Source organism: Homo sapiens, chromosome 4 (assembly GCF_000001405.40).
Source record: "Homo sapiens chromosome 4, GRCh38.p14 Primary Assembly".
NCBI classification, from domain to species: Eukaryota; Metazoa; Chordata; class Mammalia; order Primates; family Hominidae; genus Homo; species Homo sapiens.
In genome coordinates this window covers 143914291-143941328 of record NC_000004.12, presented here as the reverse complement: position 1 = coordinate 143941328, position 27038 = coordinate 143914291, and the positions used below count along the sequence as shown (strand labels likewise).

The window sequence follows — 27038 nt, the reverse complement described above, 5'->3', positions numbered from 1 at the left end:
TATTGATTAAATGAATTTAGAAAAATCACAGAGTTCAAGGTCAATATGAAAAATCTCTGTTTATATACCAATAAGTGATTAAAAATGATATTTTAAAAATTATATCATTAACAATTATATCAAAAGACCAAATATCTAGAAATAAATTAACAAATGTGCAAAGCTCTACACAAAAAATATGAAACGTTATTTAAAAAAATTTCAAAAGACCTAAATAAAAGGAAGATATTCAATACCATAAACATGTATATTATTTTTAAATTATTCTATAAAGAGTATCTCCAATACTGAAGGAAATAATGTATACAATGGCCCATGGTCCATTTCCAAGACAAAGTGCCTTAAATAGACTTACGTTAGCAAACTACAGAAGAAACAGAACATACTAGGCTTCCTGCTTAGATAGCCAATGCCTGCTTGTTGGCCTCCCCCTCCCCCACTCCACCCCCACAACCCTGTTTCCTTGCCTTCACCAGAACCAAAGAAGTTTAGTCTAAGATAAAAGTTTACTAGCCTGCAAAATAGTTCGTTTTGTCTGTTTTTATTAGCCTGCCCAGCTACTTAGCTCATAAGTAAATACTTGAAGAGCCCCTAAGCTAACTAGGATTGCAATGCATTGTGGGCTGCAACAAAATGCAGCAAAACAACCCTAAAAAAAAACAAACAAACTAACAAACACCTAAAGCCCCTGCCCAACAATCAATAGGTGACCTCCAGGAAGATTGTGACCCCCTAGTATTAAGCCTATGAAAAACCAGGAGAGGGACCTGCACACTAGGGGTTAAATTGCTTGTTAAAACTGTGCTGTGTGTGCCTGCACATCAGACACCCAATTCTTGCAAGAGCATCATTACAAGTTTCCCTTTCGCTGTTCTCCAGGTCTCTGAGTCCATTCTTTGGGTTTGGACAGGTAGGTTTGTTTCTCACAATACCAATTATAATACCAGTAGAATGTTTCATGTAATTTATCAAGCTCATTATAAAACGTACTTGAAATTGCAAAGAGCCACAAAAAAAACCCAGACAATATTGACGAAGAAAAGACAGTCAGAGGACCTATACTACAAGATATCAGTATAAATTATAAAGTTACCATAATTAAAACTGTGGAACTGGAGTAAACATGGACAAGTAGACCAATGTAGTAAAAAACAATTCTGAAAAAGACCCACACATATATAGATGCTTGATTTATTACCATGTTGCTGCTATAAAAAAGGGAAATCTGTTTCTTAAAATAAATTATGCTGAGTCAGGCCAGGCACAGTGGCTCGCGCCTGTAATCCCAGCACTTTCGGAGGCAAAGCTGATCACTTGAGGCCAGGAGTTCAAGACCAGCCTGGCAAACATGGCAAAACCCCTATCTCTACTAAAATTACAAACATTAGACTGGCTCGGTGGCACACACCTGTAATCCCACTATGTTGGGTGGCGGAAGCATGAGAATTACTTGAACCCAGGAGGCAGAGGTTGCAATGAGCCAAGATCATGCCAATGCACTCCAGCCTGAGTGACAGAGTGAGATTCTATCTCTAAAAAAAAAAAGAAAAAGAAAAAGAAAAGAAAAAAGAAATTATGCTGAGTCAGCAGACTATCCATAGTGAAAAATATTAACCCTTCCTTCATACTACATACCATTTTAGGTGAATTGAAGATTGGTATGAAAGAAAAAATAGAGTTTCTAAAAAAATAATGTTAGAAAGTATTTTTAAGACTTTTGGGTAGGCAAAAGTTTCTTAAGCAGAGCACAAAAAGCACTAGCCGTAAAAGAAAAGACTGAGAAATTGAGAAATTAGACCACATTAAAATTAAGAACTCCTGTTTATCACAAGACACAAGAAAGTGAAAGGCAAGTCTCAGAGCTATTATTTGCAATAAATATAACAAAGAAAGAATTCATATTGAGAGTATATCAAGAACTTAGAAAAATCAATTTTTTTCAAAAAGAAAACTTGATTTTAAGATAGGCAAATTTAGTCTTGCTAACTTTCAGGGAGACAGAAATTAAAGCTAAAATGACATACCACTGCATATCAAACAAAATGGTCAAAGTACAAAAGGACTCATATGTCAAGTATTGTAAATGATATGGACAGAGCAACTGGAACTCGAAGTCACTGCTAATGGGAGTGTAAATTGGCATAATCCCTTTGGAAAACTGTTTGCCAGTATCTATTAAGCCGTATGTATGCATATCATATCACCCAGCAATTCCATCTGTAGATCTGCGCCTGACAGCAGTATGTACAAATGTGAACTGAAAGACATTTACAAAGTGCTTATGGCACCGTTATTCTTAATAGCCTCAAATTGGAGAAAATTCAAGTGTCTATCAACAGTAGAACAAATATATTCTAGTATATTTATTCAATGTAACACTATGTAGCCATGAAATAAACATGTGTAGCAACACACCACATGGATGAATCTCTCAACACTATTGAGTGAAAGAAGCCAGACACAAACGAATATGTACTGTAAGATTCCGTTTATATATTTATATAATGTACAAGCAGAGTCAAAGCTAATCTACAGGGCTTAAACCTCAAGGTGTTATCTGTGCCCTCTTAGAAACTGGGCTGCACAGCAGGAAGTGAGTGGCAGGCGAGTGAGCATTACCGCCCGAGCTCCATCTCCTGTCAGATCAGCGGTGGCATCAGATTCTCATAGGAGTGTGAACCCTATTGTGAAACGTCCATGCGAGCTTTCATGCTCCTTAGGAGAATGATGATCTGGGCCAGGCGCGGTGGCTCACGCCTGTAATCCCAGCACTTTGGGAGGCCGAGGAGGGCAGATCACGACATCAGGAGATCAAGACTATCCTGGCCAACACGGTGAAACCCCATCTCTACTAAAAATACAAAGAATTAGCCGGGCATGGTGGCGGGTGCCTGTAGTCCCAGCTACTCGGGAGGCTGAGGCAGGAGAATGGCATGAACCAAGGAGGCAGAACTTGCAGTGAGCCGAGATTGCGTCAGTGCACTCTAGCCTGCGCGACAGAGCGAGACTCTGTCTAAAAAAAAAAAAAAGAAAGAAAAAAAAATTGATGATCTGATGATGATCTGAGGTAGAACAGTCTCATCCCCAAATCATCTTCCTCCTGCCCCGGTCCACAGAAAAATTGTCTTCCACGAAACCAGTCTCTGATGCCAAAAAGCTTGGGGACCGCTGCTCTAGTGATGATAAGAAGATGCTGCCCATTGTGATAATGGTCAGTAATGGTAATTACATTCATTTACATTTTGCATTCAATTATATTCTTTTTAAAAAATGTGCTACAGAAATATATACTTTTTTGAAAAAACGAGCCAATATTAAGGAAGTTATGTTAGTCCATTTTCTGTGGCTACAAGAGAATACCTGAGACTGAGTAATTTATAAAGAATAGAGATTTATTTAGCTCACATTTCTGGAGGCTGTGAAGTCCAAGATCAGGTGGCTGTATCTGGTGAGGGCCTCATGCTGCATCACAACATAGTGATGGCATCACACGACAGGAACACATGCAAGAACAGCAAGCAGGCACATGCAATGAAGACAAAACATGAAGGATGACCTTGATTTATAACAACTCACTCTCGGGTTGCTATTCCAGACCTACGCTCACTCAAAAGAGATGGGATTAATCTCTTCATAATGGCAGATCTCTTATGACCCAAACACCTCTTAAGGATCCCACCACCTCTCAACACTATTACATTGGGGATCAAGCCTCAATATGAATCTTGGTGTGGATGAAGCATATTAAATAATAGCAAAAGTAAATTTTTTCAAAAAAAATTTTGGAAAGACGCTATGCGTAAATTTTCTAAGCCTTGAAGGATTCTTTTTAAGTTTGAGTGAAAAATCTACATAAATTCTAAATTATTTCCTAGAGCAAAGATGGATGAATTCTTGGTGGAAAAGAAAAAACACAAAGACAAAAATAACCATGTCTTCTCACAGCTTTATTTTATATCTACTTTTCTTTTCATTCATTTTTAAATTAAACAGATTGTAATATTCATTTTCTATTATTTGTTTAGCAATTGCAAAATCAGATATGACAAAATCAACTAACAGCATAGTAAATGTATTTCCCTTATGCTTGTACACAAAAATCTGTTAGGTTTCTACTTTACTAGGTTTTTTTGGCATATTATTTAAATGTACCCTCACTCACAGGAGTCCTCTAGAGCTAAAACACATAATGATGTATGGTCTTTTCAGTTGATCCATTGAACATGATTACCATAGTCAACCAGAATTTTCTGGCAAGGTAAGTCAATTCTGTGTCAGAAGTGTATAACAAATTTCATTCCTTCCACTATTATAATTATAACAGAGTAAAGCTGAGAGAGTAGCAACATGGATGTCTCCCTGACATGAATGAGAGAAAGCTCTCTTTGACTTCTCCCTGTCGTCTTCCCTCAAAAGAGCCTTCAACTTTACATAAATCTTGCAAGAAGCAGTACTCTAGGGACAGTAATCCTTTCTGGGGTCTTTTTTTCCCCCAAGAACTTCAGAGAAGCTCTATTAGTAAAGAGGGTAACATTTATACAATGGCCCATATTCATCTCTTTATCCTTTGAAGATTGTGCCCCCAAATTTGCCCTTGAATCTAAGGCTTCTCTGTGACAGCACCTGTCACATAATTCTCCTCCAATTATTTCAAGTTGCCTAGGTGTCACATCTATTGAAGTTCATGATAACCACAGATATTATCTTGGTAATAAGAGTTTATTACTATGTTTACACATGAAACCCAGCTCATGTGGCCTTGGAAGAGTTGCTTAACATCCCTAAGCTTAAGTTTCCTTCTGTAAAATAAGGAAAATGATACATATTTCATCGAGCTGGAAGATTGAAGGTGATAATGCATAAAAAATACTGAGCATAAAGTATAGTAAGTATTCAATTTATATATTAGCTCTTATTATAATTAATAGGGATCTACTTAGGAAGATTTTTCTCTCTTCTGTATGTAATATCCACACTATTTTATATATATTTTTTTTTTTTTTTTTTTTTTTTTGAGACGGAGTCTCGCTCTGTCGCCCAGGCTGGAGTGCAGTGGCGGGATCTCGGCTCACTGCAAGCTCCGCCTCCCGGGTTCACGCCATTCTCCTGCCTCAGCCTCCCAAGTAGCTGGGACTACAGGCGCCCGCCACTACGCCCGGCTAATTTTTTGTATTTTTAGTAGAGACGGGGTTTCACCGTTTTAGCCGGGATGGTCTCGATCTCCTGACCTCGTGATCCGCCCGCCTCGGCCTCCCAAAGTGCTGGGATTACAGGCGTGAGCCACCGCGCCCGGCCACTATTTTATATTTTAAGGACACAGCTATATTGGTTGTTGCACCTATTTGTCTCCTGTAGTTCAATAAAGTAAATGTTTGAAGAATTAAAAACAATTTCCCTGAGAGACCACAATTCTCACACTTTGGAATTTATTCTCAATGACTCCTCATGACACTGCCAATTAGTATGCCCTTTATTACATTACCATTCTCTTTTGAATTCTCTAGAGGTTGTCCACACAAAATACTTTGAAAACTTTAGGAAAGTAAGTGTTGCAATGGTCAGAGTGATTGTGGAAAAAGGGCTACAGGGTGACTAATGAAAAGTTCAAGATAAATAGCTAGAATTTTTCTTTCCCTTTTCCTTTCAATCTGAATTTTTCAACTTTAAACATTTTCTTCAAATTTTCATTCTGTTAATAAAGTGAACTTTTAGACAATCAAACAGCTTACCTCATTCTATAAGAGTAACATTTAATAAAATGGCAATTAAACCTCTTTGCTGCTTAATTTACATATTAATTGACAATTATTATATTCACATTTTTGCCATTATTGATGCTACAAAATACTCTAACTCAACACAAACAATAATTACAACAGTTTACAATAACTACTCAGTTTTAATTGGGAATAAATGATGTTTATGTTCCTGAACTTGTGCTTTTAAAGAAAAGCCATATCAATAGCCAAACTATACAAGAGTTGACTCAGCTCAGCTTCAAACCACAAATATTGCATTAACTGACATTGATGATTTTAAAGAGGTTCTAGATAAGTGCGCTCATTTTACTCTTCTCTCCAGTGTCATTTGATTGGTCCCCCATTTACCCAATTAACAAGGTAACTCACATTGAATCCCATAATTGATTCAGGCCCTCAAATTAACCTCAATCCCCTATTCAACCCCATGGCCTTGGGTTTTCTCCACATAATTTCTCCAACACCTACTTTCCTAGTCCCTCTCTCATTTTGTCATCTGCTGCCCGCTCCCTTTGGCTTCCATTTCTCTTGCATTTGAATATCCTTCAAAAGTCCAAATGAACTAGTATCCCCTGCCTCATCATGAATGTTTTGTATAGATCACTGGACAACAGAACTCAGAGACTGAAGCATTTATGATCAGATTGTTCTGGCGGAGTGACTAAAGCATGTAATATTTGAGGGATTTCAGAAAGGACCTCACAGCAATATCAGTATCAAGTTGCTATTTTTGAATTTTGTGGTTGAAATATAAGTATTTCCACTGCCAGAGACCCAAGTTCCAATGCTTACTTGGTTGTTGATTATTTTATTTTTCTGACGTTTACTTTTCTCATTTGTAAACTAAGGAAAATAGACTATATGGTTTCTTTCAGCTTTAAAATACCATTCCAAAAGGTTAGAATTTATGGATCTGCTGTAAATCAAAATAATTTAATGTTTTAAATATTATTCAAGCTCTGTTAAATTTCTAGGAAGCTTTATTCTTTTATTAATCTCATCTCTACCCACATCAATTATGAAAAAGTCATGCCTACACTGAATACATTATTTCATTATGAGTTTTTAGAAGCATATATCTCCTACACAAAACAGCACACAGTACCATCTCTGAATGCTGAGTTCTCAGAGCACATATTGTAGCCATTTCATGATCTTTATAAAATAATTGTGCTCTAACACAAAAAGGCACAGCTATCTCAAGGTTAATCTAAAACTTTAGAGCAAGAGATCTCATTTCCTTTGTAAATAAGTCTATTTTTTGTGGAGTTGTTAGTCAATTTAAGCAACAAAGTGTGAAGATTGATTTAGGTGTACCTCAGGCCAGTGGTTTGCTGACTATGATCAATAATCACCCAGCCTATACTTCTAAATGTTCTTTTCTTTTTGAGTTATTCTTTTTTTAAGTTTTTTATTATACTTAAAGTTATAGGGTACATGTACACAACGTGCAGGTTTGTTACGTATACATACATGTGCCATGTTGGTGTGCTGCACTCATTAACTCATCATTTACATTAGGCATATCTCCTAATGCTATCCCTCCCCGCTCCCCCCACACCACAAAAGACCTCGGTGTGTAATGTTCACCTTCCTGTGTCCATGTGTTCTCATTGTTCAATTCCCACCTATGAGTGAGAACATGCGGTGTTTGGTTTTTTGTCCTTGTGATAGTTTGCTGAGAATGATGGTTTCCAGCTTCATCCATGTACCTACAAAGGACATGAACTCATCATTTTTATGGCTGCATAGTATTCCATGGTGTATATGTGCCACATTTACTTAATCCAGTCTATCATTGATGGACATTTGGGTTGGTTCCAAGTCTTTGCTATTCTGAGCAGTGCTGCAATAAACATACGTGTGCATGTGTCTTTATAGCAGCATGATTTATATTCCTTTGGGTATATACCCAGTAATGGGATGGCTGGGTCATATGGTATTTCTAGTTCTAGACCCCCAAGGAATTGCCACACTGTCTTCCACAATGGTTGAACTAGTTTACCGTCCCACCAACAGTGGAAAAGTGTTCCTATTTCTCCACATCCTCTCCAGCACCTGTTGTTTCCTGACTTTTTAATGATCGCCATTCTAACTGGTGTGAGATGGTATCTCATTGTGGTTTTGATTTGCATTTCTCTGATGGCCAGTGATGATGAGCATTTTTTCATGTGTCTGTTGGCTGCATAAATGTCTTCTTTTGAGAAGTGTCTGTTCATATCCTTTGCCCACTTTTTGATGGGGTTGTTTGTTTTCTTCTTGTAAATTCGTTTGAGTTCATCGTAGATTCTGGATATTAGCCCTTTGTCAGATGAGTAGGTTGCAAAAATTTTCTCCCATTCTTTAGGTTGCCTGTTCACTCTGATGGTAGTTTCTTTTGCTGTGCAGAAGCTCTTTAGTTTGATTAGATCCCATTTGTCAATTTTGGCATTTGTTGCCATTGCTTTTGGTGTTTTAGACATGAAGTCCTTGCCCATGCCTGTGTCCTGAATGGTAATGCCTAGGTTTTCTTCTAGGGTTTTTATGGTTTCAGGTCTAACATTTAAGTCTTTAATCCATCTTGAATTAATTTTTGTATAAGGAAGGGATCCAGTTTCAGCTTTCTACATATGGAAAGCCAGTTTTCCCAGCACCTTTTGTTAAATAGGGAATCCTTTCCAGGTTTCTTGTCTTGTCAGGTTTGTCAAAGATCAGATGGTTGTAGATGTGTGGTATTATTTCTGAGGGCCCTGTTCTGTTCTATTGGTCTATATCTCTGTTTTGGTACCAGTACCATGCTGTTTCAGTTACTGTAGACTTGTAGTATAATTTGAAGTCAGGTAGCATGATGCCTCCAGCTTTGTTCTTTTGGCTTAGGATTGACTTGGCAATGCGGGCTCTTTTTTGGTTCTATATGAACTTTAAAGTTGTTTTTTTCGAATTCTATGAAGAAAGTCATTGGTAGCTTGATGGGGATGGCATTGAATCTATAAATTGCCTTGGGCAGTATGGCCATTTTCACAATATTGATTCTTCCTATCCATGAGCATGGAAAGTTCTTCCATTTGTTTGTGTCCTCTTTTACTTCATTGAGCAGTGGTTTGTAGGTCTCCTTGAAGAGGTCCTTCACAGCCCTTGTAAGTTGGATGTTCTTTAAGCAATACGTTGACAGGCACCAGCCAGTAGGTAAAACTGAGGTTAAATTATATCTTCTATCAAAGATGTAAAAACCAAAGCCTCAAAGTAATATCTGACTTATAGTCTGCAATCAACAATATGGGAAAATTATATTTGATATATGATGAAATAAGACTGTTGATTGGGTAAAAAGATAAGTAGCATAAAGAGAAGAAAATACACATTAGAAACGATACCTATTTTTTGTTTGGGATGGTGAGATCTTATGCATCTTAGGTGATATTAAGAACTCATAATTACAATGCTAACTAGGAGTCTGTCTGTTTCCTAGACTGTCTTAACATTAACACCATCTCTTGCTTCAAAGAAACAGATTTGTTATACCTACCGTTGCTTGTTTTATACAGTCAACCTTGAATTACCTTAGAGAAACAACTGCACTTCTTTATCTCATTCTCTGAAGCTATTAAGTGATTTCATTGCACGAAACAATACTTTAAAGACTGAAAGTGTATGTTGTAGCAATCAATAGAGTTATTTAAAGAATGTGCTTTATTATTTGGTCTATATTCCTTAATGTGATATTATTACTGTAAACAAAGAAATCTTTAGATATAAGTAAAATCTTAATAATGATTAAAATAGCAAATATGAAGAGAAAAATAAATTTTGCCGATTCAAAGTTTCTATTTTAAGTTACCATTTTATTTTTTCTTAGTGAGTGACCTAGAATCTTCAAATTAATTTCAAATACACCCAATACTTGAGTATTATAGTATATTTGACAATTTATTCTAAAGAAGTCAAGGTTTTGAACTTTAATTTCTTTAATCCATTTACATATGTTCTGAAATGGCCTTTTAGGATAAAATGTTGATTAAAAATAACCAAAGCATAAAGATTCAATTCCATCCATTCATATCAAGGGCTACATTTTTTTCATTTATAAAATTGAGTCAGATGGTCAACAAGATCTATTTGGCCTACATTTCATGTAATATCTTGAACACAATGTAAGAATGTGTTCATTAACTTGTTCTTTCAAATATTTAATTCTCTCAGCAGGGAAGGAGTCTATATCATGTCCTCCAAGGACACAGGAATAAATAATAGAAAGATCTTGGATACACACAAAACTTAAATACAGAGAAAGAAAAAGCTTTCTGAACAAGTAGAGGATTTCTAAAGATTGCAATCTGGCCATAGCAAATGAACAGTTGCCCCCATTAGTTAAAATGCTATGCTATGTAATTAGACCTTTGGGAATCCTCCTCACTTGTGTTGCTCTTTGAATCAGAGATGCCAGCTTCTTTTGAGAAATTCACCTCCTGGCATCACAGCACAAAAGTAGCTCAGATTAGTCACATAGGGAGTCTAGTCATAAAAGAAAATGAGGGGTTAAAAACTTATAAAAATCAAGTCATAAAAGAAGGTAATATGCTTTGGCTCTATGTCTCCCACCCAAATCTCATGTCAAATTGTAATTCCCCATGATGGTGGAGGGACCAGGTGGAAGGTGATCGGAGCATGGGGGTGGATTTTCTCCTTGCTGTTCTTGTGATAGTGAATGAGCTCTCACAAGATCTGTTTTTTTAAAAATATGTGGCACTTTCCCCATCACTCTCTCTCTCCTGCTCTGCCATGGTAAGATGTGCTTGCTTCCCCTTTGTCTTCTACCATGATTTTAAGTTTCCTGAGGCCTCCCAGCTGTGCTTCCTATACAGCCTGTGGAATTACTCAGTCTCAGGTAGTTCTTTATAGCAGTGTGAGAATATACTAATAAAGATAATTGTTACCAAAGAAGTGAGGCATTGCTATAAAGATACCTGAAACTGTGGAAATGACTTTGGAACTGGGTAATGGGCAGAGGCTGGAACAGATTGGAAGGATCAGAAGTACACAGGAAGGTGAAAAAAAGTTTGGAACTTCCTAGAGACTTGTTGAATGGTTGTGACCAAAATGCTGATAGTGAAATGGACAGTGAAGTCCAGGCTGAGGTAGTTTCAGATGGAGATGAGGAACTGATTGGGAACTGGAGTAAAGGTCAGTCTTGCTATGCTTTAGCAAAAAGACTTGTGGTATTGTGTTCCTGCTCTAGCAATCTGTGGAACTTTGAATTTGAGAAAGATGATTTAGTGTATCTGGGGGAAGAAATTTCTAAGCAGAAGAGCATTCAACATGTAGCCTGGCTGCTTTTAAAAACTTACACTCATTTGCATAAGCAAATGTTTAAAAGGGAAGCAAATGGGAAAAGTTTGAAAAATGTGTAGCCTGAATATGTAGTAGAAAAGAAAAACCCATCCTGGGGAGAAATTCAAGCTGGCTTTAGAAATTTGCATAAATAAAGAGGAGCTGAATGTTAATTGCCAAGACAATGGGGAAAATCACTCCAGGACAGTTCAGAGACTTTCACAGCAGCCCTCCCATCACAGGCCTGGAGACCTAGGAGGGAAAAATGCTTTTGTGGGCAGGGCTTAGGGTCCTGCTGCTCTGTGCAGCCTCAGGTTATGGAACCCTGCATCCCAGCCACTCCAGCTCCAGCTGTGGCTAAAAGGGGCCAAGGTACAGTTTGGGCCATTGCTTCAGAGGGTGCAAGCCTCAAGCCTTGGCAGATTCCACATGGTATTGAACCTGCAGGTACACAGAAGGGAAGAGTTGAGGTTTGGGAGCCTCGGCCTAGATTTCAGAGGATGTATTAAAACGCCTATTGCAGGCAGACTTCTCCTCATGGAGAAACTCTACTGGGGCAGTGCAGAGGAGAAATGTGGGGTTGGAGCCACCACACAGAGTCCCCAGTGGGGCACTCCCTAGTGCAGCTGTAAGAAGAAGGCCACCGTCCTCCAGACCCCAGAATAGTAGGTCCAATGACAGCTTACACCATGCTCCTGGAAAAGCTACAGGCAGTCAACATCAGCCTGTGAAAGCAGCCACAGGGGCTGTACCCTGCAGAGCCATAAAGGCAGAGCTTCACAAGGCTTTGGGAGTCTACCCCTTGCATGAGTGTGCCCTTGATGTGAGACATGGAGTTAAAGGAGATTATTTTGGAGCTTTAAGATTTATGACTGCCCTGCTGGGTTTGGGACTTGCGTGGGGCCTGTAACCCCTTTGTTTTGTCCAATTTCTCCCTTTTGGAATGGGAGCATTTACCCAATGCCTGTACTCCCATTGTATTTTGGAAGTAACTAACTTGTTTTTATTTTACAAGCTCATAGGCAGAAGGGATTTGCCTTGTCTAAGATAACCCTTTGGACTTGGTCTTTTGAGTTAACACTCAAATGAGCTAAGACTTGGGGGACTGTTGAGAAGTCTTGCTGCTTTTGTTTTGAAATGTGAGAAGAACATGAGATTTAGGTGGGGCCAGGGACAGAATTACACAGTTTGGTTCTATGTCCTTACCCAAATCTCAAGCCAATTTGTAGTTCCAAGTTTTGGGGGAGGGACATGGTGGGATGTGATTGGATCACGGGAGTGGATTTTCCACATGCGGTTCTCATGATGGTGAGTGAGTTCCCATGAGATCTGATTGCTGAAAAGTGTGTAGCACTTTCCCCTTCACTCTCTCTCTCTCCTGCTCCACTATGGTAAGATGTATTTGCTTCCCCTTCACCTTCTGCCATGATCATAAGTTTCCTGAGGCCTCTCAGCCATGCTTCCTGTACAGCCTGTGGAACTGTGAGTCAATTAAACCTCTTTTCTTCATAAATTACCCAGTCTCAGGTAGATCTTTATAGCAATGTGAGAACGGACTAATACAGAAGGCTTGTTTTGAGATCTAATTATGTGATGTTACAAACTACTACATTGTTTAAATCTTCTAAGAGGAATTAATGTCTAAAATTACTCTCCTTGACCATTGCAAAAGAGCATCTGAGTGAATGGGTATGTGGATGCTGAGTTCAGTCCCACATTCTACTTACTAAGACATGGCCCATGAGGGTGAGTTTTTCCAAATAGGCCACCTTTTTCTACTTTTCACAAAAGAACAATATGAACTAGGTAGACCTTTGTTTACTATAAACTAAGAAACAGATCCTACAAGCCTAGAAGATTCTATGAAGTATGATGCTAATCCAAAAAGGGAAACCATATATGTCAATAACTCTTTCAAGGACATAAAGAATCCAGGAGTGAGACTACTTTCTGGTTCCAACCTAAAGACCAGAAAAGTAATAAGACAAGCATGCTGAGTACAGAATTTGTGAAGGTGCTGCAGAACTATGTTGAGCTTCCGTTATTGGTTCTGGGCTTCCTCTTGCCCAGTGAATGAGAAGCCATGACCAGAGGTCATCAAACAATAACTGGAGCACATTTTTATTTGCATGGCATTATAAATTCATAGAATGCTTTATTTTAGTGTATCAAACCAATGAAAAACTAATGAATGTTAAAATATATAAGCACACATGTTATTTTCTGATTTTTTTATGTTAATAGAAATTCTAATGGGTGTGAGGTGATATCTCATTGTGGTTTTGCTCAGCATTTTCTTAATGATTAACAATATTGAGCATCTTCTTATATACTTTTGGCCATAGGTATATCATCTTTGGAGAAATCTCTATTCAAGTTCTTTTCCCATTATTTAATTGCTTTTTTTTTTTTGCTGTTGTGAGTTACTGGAGTTTTTCATCTAATCTGGGTATTAACTACTTATTAGATATATGAGTGTCAAGAAGATATTGTACACCCATGTTCATAACAGCATTATTCACAAAAACCAAGAGGCGGAAACAACCCAAGTGCCCATCAATAGATAAATGGATAAAAGCTGGTATATATGAGATACCATTCAGGTTACAACATGAATGAACTTGAGGATCTTGTGCTAAGTGAAGTAAGTCCATCACAAAAGAAATGAATTTGTATGATTCCACTTATATGAGGGATCTAAAATAGTCCCCTTCATAGAAATAGAAAGTAGAATGGTTGTTGCGGGGGGGTGGGAGAAGGAAGAAATGGGGATTACTGTACACTTAAGAATGGTTAATGAGGCAAATTTTATATGTTCTTTACCACAATTAAAAGTTTTAAAAACATATAAATAATAGAATGTTGAACAATTGTTTGCGTTTAGTCAAGATTAGTGCTTAGATGTTTCAGAGAGTGGGACTCCACTATATTGTGACAGAGTGAGCACTGTGTGTGACCAACTCTTAATCAGAGGCCTCCTATTTGCTCTCCTACTAATAAAATACAGAGAAGACTTCAGGGCATAAATCTTACTAGATGAATACTTATTCTTCAGACCATTTTCCCAAGTGTGGATTGTGACCCTCTAAAGAAGGATTTAAAGAGCAAGTAGAGGCCAGGGGTCCTGGGAAAACTATCACCTTATTTCCTCGCTTCCCCTGGTCCCAGCCTCCCTGAGAGATGCACTAGGATGCAGCACATGTGGTGGGTGTAGCTTGGACGCATGCCTCAGAGCCTGTGAGAATCCCCACTCTGCCATTTCTAGCAGTATGACTTTAGGTATATTCACTTTGCTTAGCCTCATTTTCATTACCTGTAAAATGGGGATAGGTTCTCAATATTGAAGTAAGATGAGGCATGGGAAGCTCTAATTTAGACTAGACTAAAAAGAGTAATGTGGAAAATAAGAAATTACTGGCCAGAATTGACAGCTTTCTGATGTATACTTGCATGAACATGAGATGACAAGTGTCCACAAATACAGTAGTATGATGTGAATTAGAAATCTATTTTCAGGGGCGTGGCTTTCAACTGTGCCTTAAAACTTGGAAGCCATCCACAATAGTGCTATCTCAAAAGAAAACTTGACAAATAAGAACTCTCATGACTGAGATTATAATGAAGAAGAAATGTGAGATTATAAATTCCAAATGAGATTATTACTTTTCCTGATTTGGTCATTTTTGTCATGTAGATGTAGCAGGCATCAGGATGCAAAACTGTCTTGTGGGTGTGATTTGGGAAAACTGGTCCAAAGTGCATTTTGACATGAGAGAATGTCATATTCTAGATGCTATTAGTAACTCTTTTGAAATCTCAGTATGTAACTGTACATGCCCTTCAGATTGGAGTCAAACAGTTTGTGTTTCTGTAGAGTTTTATTGCTTTGATGGGAAAAAGGTATAAAAACTGGATTACTTTGCCAGGTGAAATGGATTCTAGGTGGATGGGGGTGGATAATCAATTAAGTGCTTATATTGATTATGAAAGTGTCAGTCAACGAGGTTATTGGTAGAAAGAACAGAGTTCATTGTTGTATGTCACAGAAATTTTTTTAAATGAACTTTTAGCATAGATCTTTAAGCATGATTCCCAGCAGAATAATGATGAAACACTGTAGTTCATTTGGCTTGCTCCGGCAGAGGATCTCTATCCAAAGTTGATAGGAAATAACATGTTTGAGATTTGGGGCATTCCCTCAGTCCATATTAATTATTTTATGATGATCAGCAGGCCAGTTATAAAATAAAAACAATGGTTTCAAGCCTTTGCATAGCTGGGTTTCTTTCTTCTGGTAAAAGTACTTGGTTCTATTTCTACAGAATAAAGATCTAAATAGTCTATGAAATCAATTGTTTTTGATCTTCCATTATCATTGTAATTTATTATTTTTAAAGTCATGAGATATTTAATCAACTTTTTAAAGTGATGGATACAATCTTCCAGTACATTGGTTTACTTTGAAGTTTTAGGTCTTTGTACATTATCAAATTCAAAATCATTGTTTGAATCAAAAAAACATAGATGATTAGGCAAAGCTTATTTTTCCCATTTTGTTCATTCAGTCAATATGATAGGCAGAGTAATGCCCCACCCCAAGAGGTCTGCATCCCAACCCCCAGAACCTGTGAATATGTTGTTACGTGGCAGAGGGGAAGTAAGGCTGAAGATGAAATTGAGGTTGCTAATCAGCTGACCTTGAGAAGGGGGGATTATCCTGGATTATCTAGGTGGGCCCAATGTAACCACAGGGTCCCTAATGTGGAAGAGGGAGGCCAAAGGAGAGAATCATAGAGATGACATCATGAAAAGACTCAGTCTGATGTTGTGACTGTGAAGATGGAGAAAGAGGCCATAAACCAAGAAATGTGAGTGACCTATAGAATTTGGAAAAGGCAAGAAACAGAACCTCCCCTGGAGTCTCCAGAAAGAACCCAGCCATACCAACAATTATTTTTGCCCAGTGAGACCCATTTTGGACTTCTGACCTCCAGAAATTTAAGATAAATTCTTGTTTTATTCCACTAAGTTCATGGTAATTTGTTATAGCAACAACCAAAAAAAACTAATACAGTCAATTCATTGTTTTTGTTTTTAATCTTCATAGGTACATGACAGTTGTACATATTTATGGGATACATGCGATATTTTGATCAAGCATGCCATGTGTAAGGATCAAATCTTGGTAATTAGGATTTTCATCACCTCAAACATTTATGATCATTTCTTTGTGTTGAGAACATTCCAAATCTACTTTTATAGTTATTTATTTTGAAATATACAAAATAAATTATTGTTAAGTATACTCACCCTATCTACTCTGGACCCAAGGAGATGGGGTTCCTTTGGGTTTCAGAAAAAACTTTGAGAGCAGGATCTGATCTCTAAGAAAAGGCTGTGGAGCCCAAAAAGAAATTTGAGGTCTCTTGGAGATGCCATGTAGTTCTATGGCCTACTGTCCTTAAAAATCCTTCTCATCTCTATTCACCTTTTTAATGCTTTCAGGAATCAATTTCCTCCTTCAGGAAACTGGCATTTTCTGTAGAGAAATTTTTCTATGCAAATACTTGTCTTTACAGAAGTAAATGAAGTTAAAAATATGGAACTTTAGGTATCTAAGTAATTAGACTTGGTCTTTTGTTCTTTAGCATCTTTTAAATGAATATAAAACTGATTTTGTATCATTCAAAAACATTTATTTTACTTTAAAGAATCAGATAAAGTATGCTCCATAGAATTTCAATCATCCCGCTTTTTTTTTTACTGTATGACCTGGAAATATGAGATAACCTCCTCTCCACCAAACACCTCACAGGTACTCCAGTGCATAAGGAGTCCTCTGCCTCTTAGTCAAGGAAAATGTTAACTTGCAGTAATGACTACATTATTGGGAAGCTCACTGAAAGAGGATCTTACGAACCATTAAATGTAGCACAATAAAGGTGAAAACTACCTTATACTCATCATGTAACAGTCAAAATTTCGCATAAGCTGTATTTTTATGATGTCCTACTATAAACATGGCTTAATGTACCTTTACTTATAATTGTGTTTGTCTAAAACTTCATCACGATTTTTGGTTTTTTTTTCTTGTATTGTTTTTCCGTTTTTTCTTTTTGCTTTTATTTTTAAAGGATAGAAATATTTTAAGAAATGTGTTCAGACAGCAGGATGTAGTAGAAAGAACACTTGCTTTGGAACCAGAAATCCACAGTGACAATATGACACCTGGCACTGACCGAGAAACCCTAGACAAGTTCATGAAATGATTTCTACCTCAATTATTTCCCCCAAAAGTGGGCACTTTGCAGGGTTATCCTAAAAACTATATGAAATATATAAATACCCATGTGCAACTGGAGAAGATATTTACTAATCATGTCTGCTAAGGGGTTAATATCAGAATATATAAAGAATTCCTACAACTCAGCAACACATCCAGTCAAAAGATGGTCAAAGAACTTGCATAAACCTTCTCCAAAAATGAAATACAGGTAGCCAAGAAACAAGAAAAGATGCTCAACATCACTAGTCATTAGGAAATGCAAATCCAAACCACATTAGGGTGGCTACTGGGCCAGGTATGGTGGCTCACGCCTGTAATCCCAGCACTTTGGGAGGCTGAGGCGGGTGGATCACTTGAGGTCAGGAGTTCAAGACCAGCCTGGCCAAAATGGTGGAACCCCCGTCTCTACTAATAATACAAAAATTGGCGGGGTGTGGTGGCATCTGTGTGTAATCCCAGCTACTCAGGAGGCTGAGGCAGGAGAATTGCTGGAACCTGGGAGGCAGAGGTTACAGTGAGCTAGAGATAGTGCCACTGCACAAAAAAAAAAAAAAAAAAAAAAAAAAACCAAGGCGGGGGGGATGTCTACTATATTAATCCATTAGTGCTGCTATAACAAAATACCACAAATAGGATAATTTATGAAGAACATATTTATTTCTTACAGTTCTGGAGGCTGGAAATTCCAACATCAAGGCACCGATATTCAGTGTCTGGTGAGTGCTCATTCTCTATGCTGCTAAGATGACCCCTTGGTGCTGCATCTTCCAGAGGGGATGAACATTGTGTCCTCACATGGCAGAAGAAGGAAGGGCAACAGGGCCTAAGTAGTTTTCTCCTACCCTTTATAAGGCACTAATCCATCCATGAAGGTGAAGCCCTCATGACTTAATCACTTTCAAAAAGGCCCCACCTCTTAATATCATCACACTGGGGATTAAGTTTTAATCTTAATTTTGGAAGGGACACATTCAAATAAGAGCAGATACTATCAGAAAAAATATATATATAAAAATAAAAACTACACACAAACCAGAAAATAAATATTGGCAAAGATGTAAGGAAATTCAAACCCTTGTGTCCTGCTAGTGGGAACATAAAATGATGCAGCCACTGTGGAACAGTATGGCAGTTTCATAAACATTAAGTATAGAATTACCATGCAATCCAGCTTTTCCACTTCTGGTATATATCCAAAAGAATTAAAAGCAGGGTTTCAAGAAGGTATTGCACATCCATGTTCATTATAGCATTATTCCCAATAACCAAAAAGTGGAAGCAACCCACCTGTCCGTTAATGGAAGAATGAATAAACAAAATGTTGTAAATTCTTCTTTATAAAGGAAAGAAATTCTAACATACACTACAACATGGATGAATCTTGAGGTCATTAGGCTAAATGAAATAGTCACAGAAAGACAAATTCTGTATGATTCCACTCTATGAGGTATCTACAAGAGTCAAATTCACAGAAACGGAAAGTAAAACGGTGGTTGTCAGGGGCTTGGGGAGGGAGAAATGGGAAGTTGTTTAATGGCTATAGAGTTTTATTTTAGGAAGATGAAAAAGTTCTGGAGATTGCTTGCATAATGATGTAAGTATACTTAACAGTACTGAACTATACATATAAAAATGGTTAAGATGGTTAATTTTGTTATGTATATTTTGTCACCATTTTTAAAAACTCATAACATGTAGGAAGTTCTGATTTAATGCTGAGTGGATGGATGGGTAGGTGAAATCTTATGGGGCAGTGAAAAGGTCATTGCATTCAGGTGACCTTGTCCTATCCTACTAATTGTGTGACTCTCAGCCTCTCAGAAACTCAGCTCTCTTCTCTTCAAAAGAGAAACAATAACACCCGCGTCCTCATAGGCTTATTGTGAGGCTTGCCTTCAGTAAGCCATGTATGTGAAAGCATGACACCTTGCATAATTGAATAAGAGTCTAGGTAGTAAAATATTATAATTATTTGGTCAACATACATGCGCATGCACGCACACACACACACACCCCACACAGAAAGAGAGAGAGAGAGAGCCTTTCACCCAAGGTTACATTTTTCAATAAGTATCACATCTGCTGTCAATATCACTTAACTAATTAGGGCCCAGGGTTCTAAATCACAATTTCAGAATGGGTTATAAATACAGAGAAGTGTCTTAGTATGCTCAGCAGTTTTTAATCTTTCACAAGAGATTATGAAACAACCTTGTGTACAATCGAAAAAGACATAAATCTCTTGTTCTGCTGTAAAATTATTTATAATAGTCTTTCTTTTTTTTCTTCCTATTAGTCTTTCCCTATCTTCTGTTGAATTCTGAAATAAATGTGTCCTCCAATTTGTTGGGGGAACATAAACTCAGATTTCATCTCTCATGGCTCTGGGAAGGAAGTGGGTTTTAATTTAAAGCAAAGCTCATGTATGTAGCAATATATCGACTTTGTTTTTTTTTCACCTTTCTTAAAGGAAAAATAGGAAATTAAGTGTATCGTGGTAGAACAATTTGGTTGATAAGGTAACATTAAGCGGAAGTTTGGGGTTCATTTCATTTTACTCACTGACCACTGCTGATGCAAAAGAGGGTAAGTGCCGTCACTTCCTTAGGCTGTCATTTGGTTCACACAAACTGGAAATCTGGCTGCTTCTTAGATGCCTTGGGAAGAAAACCCAAGAGCGCGTGATGCACTTCATCACTGATACTGAGAATGTTTCAAGTCCAGCCTGTAACTGCCAGCTTGTTTTGTTGCTTTAAATCAAATACTCAGCCTTGGGAAAAACACTTAGCCTTGAAATATCTGCCTGAAGAATTGTCAGTTCTGTTTTAACAGCCAGATCACCTTTTTGGTGTGTATTCGGGAAGAATGAGTCTTTGTCTAAAGTCAATATCTGCTTTCAGAGAAAAAAAAAAAAAGAGAGAGAGACAGAGACTCCATTGAAGGGATTTAAAAAACACAGCTCAGTTGGGTCAAAATGTTGTTTTAGAAACAGTTGCCCTTGTAACAAAATTCAAAAACACTCTTACTCAAAACACTGCATTCAAACCCATGTCCTGCTGATCTCTCATATGTAAAGTATAGATAGATAAACTCATCTCAGTTCATGTCCTTTGCAGGGACATGAATGAAGCTGGAAAGCATCATTGTTAGCAAACTAACACAGGAACAGAAAATCAAACACCGCATGTTCTCACTCATAAGTGGGACTTGAACAATGACAACACATGGACACAGGGAGGGGAACATCATACACTGGGGCCTGTCGAGGGTGGGGGTCTAGGGGAGGGATAGCATTAGGAGAAATATCTAATGTAGACGATGGGTTGATGGGTGCAGCAAACCACCATGGCATGTGGCATGTGTATACCTAGGTAACAAACCTGCATGTTCTGCTCATGTATCCCAGAATGTAAAGTAAAATAATAAAAAAAGAAACTCATCTCAGCTTCTGACTTGCACAAAAGAAAAGCTTCCTGTGGTTTGTCTGCATGTTCTACTTCAACAACCAAGCTGACAGCAGAAAGTGGCAACACAGGGCAGTAGCATTTTTTAAAGAAAAGTTTGAAATTTGAAAGAAAAATAGGATAAGTGAAGCGTAAAAGCAGAGCCAAAGGAACTGAAGGAAAAGTTGCAGTATCAACTCTACTGGACCGGAGCCCTCCGTACCTTTCAAATTGCCCTTCTTGAAACAAATGCTTACACCTATGAATAAATATTTGTTTACTTGCTTTAATCTCCAATTGTGCAGCCAATAGAACCTGACTGAGCTCTCCCCAACTCTTCCCACTTTGAAATCTTCCTCTGTGTTCTCTCCTACATCCCACCTTTCATGCCCCACTACCACTCTCCCATTCCCTACTAGTCAGATGGTCTTAGGATGACTGTAGGTCCCCAGGGCCACAGAGGCCCCTAGTTAGGTGGAGAGGGGTTATTAGCAGGTTGGGAGACCTGCAGGGATGACCAAGCAGGTGGAGAGGAGTGACCAGCTTATTATTCATTCATTCATTTATTCAACAAATATTTATTTAGAGTCTATTTTCTGCCAGGAATTATTATAGATTCTGAAGATACAGAAATAAAAACATAATCAAAAATCCTTCTCTCCTGGAGCTTACATCTAGTGAGATAAAGAGTATATAGTATGTTAAATGGTCATGAGTACTACAGAAAAAATTAAAGCTGGGAAGTAAGAAAAAGATTGTTACGGACTGGTTGCAATTTAGGTTAGTCAAGGGAGCTATCTTTAAAGGGTGACATTTGAGTAAAGATCTTAAAAGAGACATGAGCCAAGAAATTATATAGCAAAGGAGTATTCCAGAAGGATGCATCAAAGCAAAAAGGTCCTGAGGTCTGACTTGTTGAAGTAGCAGCCCAAAAGACAGAATTACTAAAGGGGAGAGTTGAAGGAGACAAGGTCAAAGAGGTAGGAAGGACTGATCATGTAGGCCCTTGGCTGATTTTCTTAGTACAATGTGGAACTATTAGAGGATTCTGAGCAAATAACTATTGTGACTTGACTTATATTTTTAATAGATCTGGAATGGACATGCATTTTCATTTATGACTTGCCTATTCCCGTTAAGTTCCTAATAAAGGTAAAGGGGAAAACAACTGAGGACTAGACTACTAGGAAGGAGTTATTAGGTGGAGAGACACTCGTATTGTTGTGAGATAACAAAGGCAACAGGAGTCAGTGCTATAGATGTCCTATTGCTCAAGAAAGAAACTTCAAAGAGAAATGTATTGCTCTTCCATGACCAGGTATGGAACTTCAGAATGAATGTCTGAGTATACAACATTGTAAGCAGAAATCTGAGTCTCAAGAGAAGAAAAATCTCAGTTTGAGCACCTGGCTGCCAAGCTCTGACCCATCTTAGGAGAACTTCATCATGTAAGAGCCTGGATGACATCGCTGGTGTTAAACCCTATGGATGATCTTAATCATTCTTACTTGATCTCTCTGCAGTATTGAAGACTGTTTTTCCATTCTTAAAATCCTCTTTCCTTGTCCTTCTGTGACTTTAGGAACACCTCCCTTCTCTGGTATTTCTCATTTCTCCAACACCATTCCTTCCCTGGACCCATTATGGCCACTCTTCTTCCTATGCTTTGTTCAGTTCTCCAGTGCACATTTTAGCCCTATTTCCTCTCACTCTTGCTAAACTTACTCTTTCCCGTGATTTCAATTATCATAGATATTTGGACATTTACTCCACTTGAATATTCCATAGTCTTTCAAAGCCAGCATATTCCACATTTAGTCACCATATTTACCCCTTCCACTATTCTCTTCTCTTTTTATTTGTTGACTCTTACTTATCCTTCAAAATTCATATTACATTATCCAGAAACTCTTTGCTGGGGGCTCATCTCCAGCTGTTTACAGCCTGGTCTCAGACCCTATATTCCAGCTCTAACAGCTTTCACTTTGCACTTACCTCCACCATGGTATTTGTTACACTGAGAGGCAATTATTTGAGTAGGTGAAAAAATATTATATTTTAAAAACTATTTTATCGGGCTGTAGAATTTATCCGGAGTACAGAGACAACTGATTTTTCATTAAAAAAGACTTTTGTTATAAAACATAGTCAATAAAGAGATGTATTACCCTGCTTAATAAAGTAGGAGAGTACCTTTCTGAATCAGAAATTTGGGTTTAAAAAGAAAAACTAAGGAATATTCTGCTTTTCCTCAACAACTGAGGAAGAATACAGGAAAAGCCAGGAGGATGGAGTCCTGAGGAAGTAAGAAAAAAAGGAGAAGGAATTCAATTCTGAGGAATGAATCATAGCAATACAGTGACATGCCAGGACCAAGAAGAGAGCTGACCGAGAGGGGATTCCCTATGAAGATGGCTTGCAGGCTTCAGACACAGTGTTGTTTTCTCCTCTCTGCTGGAATTCCTCTCTGTTGTCTCTAAACCCTTAGTAAAATTATTTCATATATGATAGTCTTGTGTTAGCTGTCCCTGGGAAGGAATGAGAAGAGGCTCTGTCCATGAATCCCATGTAGGGCAAAGTGGTGGGCAGTGCACACCCTGGGCCAGGGTTCTGATAAAAGAGGTGATTGAGGAGAGGTCTGGAAACAGCTTTTGGAAGAAGATAATGTGGCTCCCCCAGTATGTTAGTCCATTTTACATTACTATAAAGGAATACCTGAGGCTGGGTAATTTATAAAGAAAAGAGGTTTAGTTTGACTTATGTTTCTACAGGCTGTACAGGGAACATGGTGCTGACATCTGCTTCTGGTGAGAGCCTCACAAAGCTTCCCAATCATGGTAGAAGGCAAAGGGAGAGCTGGTGTATCACATAGCAAGAGGGAGCAAGTGGCTGGGGAGGAGGCATCACATTCTTTTAAACACATGGGGAAAGGATTCCCTATTTAATAAATGGTGCTGGGAAAACTGGCTAGCCATATGTAGAAAGCTGAAACTGGATCCCTTCCTTACACCTTATACAAAAATTAATTCAAGATGGATTAAAGACTTAAATGTTAGACCTGAAACCATAAAAAGCCTGGAAGAAAACCTAGGCAATAGCATTCAGGACATAGGCATGGGCAAGGACTTCATGTCTAAAACACCAAAAGCAACGGCAACAAAAGCCAAAATTGACAAATGGGATCTAATTAAACTAAAGAGCTTCGGCACAGCAAAAGACACTACCATCAGAGTGAACAGGCAACCTACAAAATGGGAGAACGTTTTTGCAACCTACTCATCTGACAAAGGGCTAATATCCAGAATCTACAATGAACTCAAACAAATTTACAAGAAAAAAACAAACAACCCCATCAAAAAGTGGGCAAAGGATATGAACAGACACTTCTCAAAAGAAGACATTTATGCAGCCAAAAAACACATGAAAAAATGCTCATCATCACTGACCATCAGAGAAATGCAAATCAAAACCACAGTGAGATACCATCTCACACCAGTTAGAATGGCGATCATTAAAAAGTCAGGAAACAACAGGTGCTGGAGAGGATGTGGAGAAATAGGAACATTTTTTACACTGTTGGTGGGACTGTAAACTAGTTCAACCATTGTGGAAGTCAGTGTGGCGATTCCTCAGGGATCTACGACTAGAAATACCATTTGACCCAGCCATCCCATTACTGGGTATATACCCAAAGGATTATAAATCATGCTGCTATAAAGACACATGCACACGTATGTTTATAGCGGCACTATTCACAATAGCAAAGACTTGGAACCAACCTAAATGTCCAACAATGATGGACTAGATTAAGAAAATATGGCACATATACGCCATGGAATACTATGCAGCCATAAAAAATGATGAGTTCATGTCCTTTGTAGAGACATGGATGAAACTGGAAACCATCATTCTCAGCAAACTATCACAAGGACAAAAAACCAAACACCACATGTTCTCACTCATAGGTGGGAATTGAACAATGAGAACACATGGACACAGGAAGGGGAACATCACACACCGGGGACTATTGTGGTGTGGGGGGAGCGGGGAGGGATAGCATTAGGAGATATACCTCATGCTAAACGATGAGTAAATGGGTGCAGTACATCAACATGGCACATGTATACATATGCAACAAACCTGCACATTGTGCACATGTACCCTAAAACTTAAAGTATAATAATAATAAAATTAAAAAAAAAAAAAGAAAAGCTACTCCTGCTTGCTTCTGGTTGCATTTGCATGGAATGTCTTATTCTACCCCTTTACCTTAAGTTTATGTGAGTCCTTATGTGTCAGGTGAGTCTTATGGAGGGAGCAGATAGTTGGTTTATGAATTCTTATCCATTCTTTAATTCTGTATCTTTTCAGTGGAGCATTTAGGCCATTTATATTCAATGTTAGTATCGAGATGTGAGGTACCATTCCATTCATTGTGCTATTTCTTGCCTGTATACCTTGTTCTGTTGTTGTTGTTGTTTGTTTGTTATTGTTGTTGTTGTATAGGTCCTGTAATATTTACGCTTTAAAGAGGCTCTGTTTTAATGTTGTTCCAGAATTTGTTTCAACATTTATAGCTCCTTTTAGCAGCTCCTGTAGTGCTGGCTTGGTAGTGCCAAATTCTCTCAGCATTTGTTTGTCTGAAAAAGACTGTATCTTTCCTCCATTTATGAAGCTTAGTTTCAGTGGATACAAATACTTGGCTGATAATTATTTTGTTTAATGAGGCTGAAGATAGGGCCGAAATCCCTTCTAGTCTATAGAGTTTCTGCTGAGAAATCTGCTGTTAATCTGATAGGTTTTCCTTTATAGGTTACCTGGTCCTTTTACCTCACAGCTCTTAAGATTCTTTTCCTCATCTTAACTTTAGATAACCTGATGACAATGTGCCTGGGCAATGATTTTTTGCAATGTATTTCCCAGGTGTTCTTTGCACTTGTATTTGGATGTCTAGGTCTCTAGCAAGGCCAGGAAGTTTTCCTTGATTATTCCCCAAAATATGTTTTCCAAACTTAGATTTCTCTTCTTCCTCAAGAAGGCTGATAATTCTTAGTTTGGTTGTTTAACATAATCCCAGATTTCTTGCAGGCTTTCCTTGTATTTTCTTATTCTTTTTTCTTTGTCTTTGTTGGTTTGGGTTAATTTGAAAACCTCGTCTTCGAGCTCTGAAGTTCTTTCTTTTGCTTGTTGGAATCTATTGCTGAGACTTTCCAGAGCATTTTGCATTTCTATAAGCGCATCCATTTTTTTCCTGAAGTTTTGATTGTTTGTTATTTATGCTATCTATTTAATTGAAACTTTCTCCCCTCATTTCTTGTATCATTTTTTTTCACTTCCTTAAATTGGGCTTTGCCTTTTCTGGTACCTCCTTGATTAGCTTAATAACTAACCTTCTGAATTCTTTTCCACGTAAATCAGGGATTTCTTCTTCATTTGGATCCATTGCTGGTGAGCTAGTGAGATTTTGGGGGGGTGTTAAAAAACCTTGTTTTGTCATATTACCACAGTTGGCTTTCTGGTTCCTTCTCCTTTGGGTAGGCTCTGTCAGAGGGAAAGTCTAGGGCTCAAGGCTGTTCTTCAGATTCTTTTGTCCCACAGGGTGTTCCCTTGATGTAGTACTCTCCCACTTTTCCCAGGGATGTGGCTTCCTGAGAGCAGAGCTGTAGTGATTTTTATCCCTGATTTTTATCCCATGCAGGTTGTCAGGGAAGTTGAAGTCACAGGCCTCACCCAGCTCCCACATAACCCAAAGGGCTGGTCTCACTCCCACCATAGCCCCTGCAACAGCACCGAGTCTGTTTCCAGGCAGTGGGTGAGCAGGGCTGAGAATTTGCCCCAGGCTACCAGCCTCCCAGCTGCAAAAGCAAGTAGGGCTTTGGTACTTCCCCACCTGTAGAGTCTGCACACTGGATTCATGCCCTCCCCCAAGTTCTGGCTAGGAGACTTCTCAATCTGTTCAAATTGTTTTAAAGTTCAGCTGGAAGTTTCCTTCTCTTTGTGACCATTTCCCAGTGCCTCTGGTAGCCCTCCTCAAGGACCCCCGTGAGGCAAGGCAGAAATGGATGGCTAGGGAACCCAGTGAGCCCACAGGGCCTTACGCCCTGCTTTCTCTAGCAGTGTATGTCACTTGGCTCTCTAAATTGACTCAGCTCCAAGTAAGGTCAAAATCTTCTCCTGTGATCTAGACCTTTAGGTTCCCCAGTGAGGATGTGTGTTCAGGAGCTGACTATTCCCCTTTCCCAC

The 27038-nt window shown here is 38.3% G+C and overlaps 2 long non-coding RNA genes across 2 annotated transcripts in view; both read right to left on the bottom strand.

Moving 5' to 3' along the window:
- The window catches only part of LOC105377459 (uncharacterized), a 125977-nt gene that overhangs the window by 28049 nt on the left and 70890 nt on the right, over positions 1–27038 (bottom strand). The gene's annotated exons all lie outside the window — the stretch shown is intronic.
- The window catches only part of LOC101927636 (uncharacterized), a 70124-nt gene that overhangs the window by 41126 nt on the left and 1960 nt on the right, over positions 1–27038 (bottom strand). The window contains exon 3 of the long non-coding RNA NR_125886.1: positions 3406–3462. This is a non-coding gene — a long non-coding RNA (uncharacterized LOC101927636). The remainder of the gene's footprint in view (positions 1–3405; positions 3463–27038) is intronic.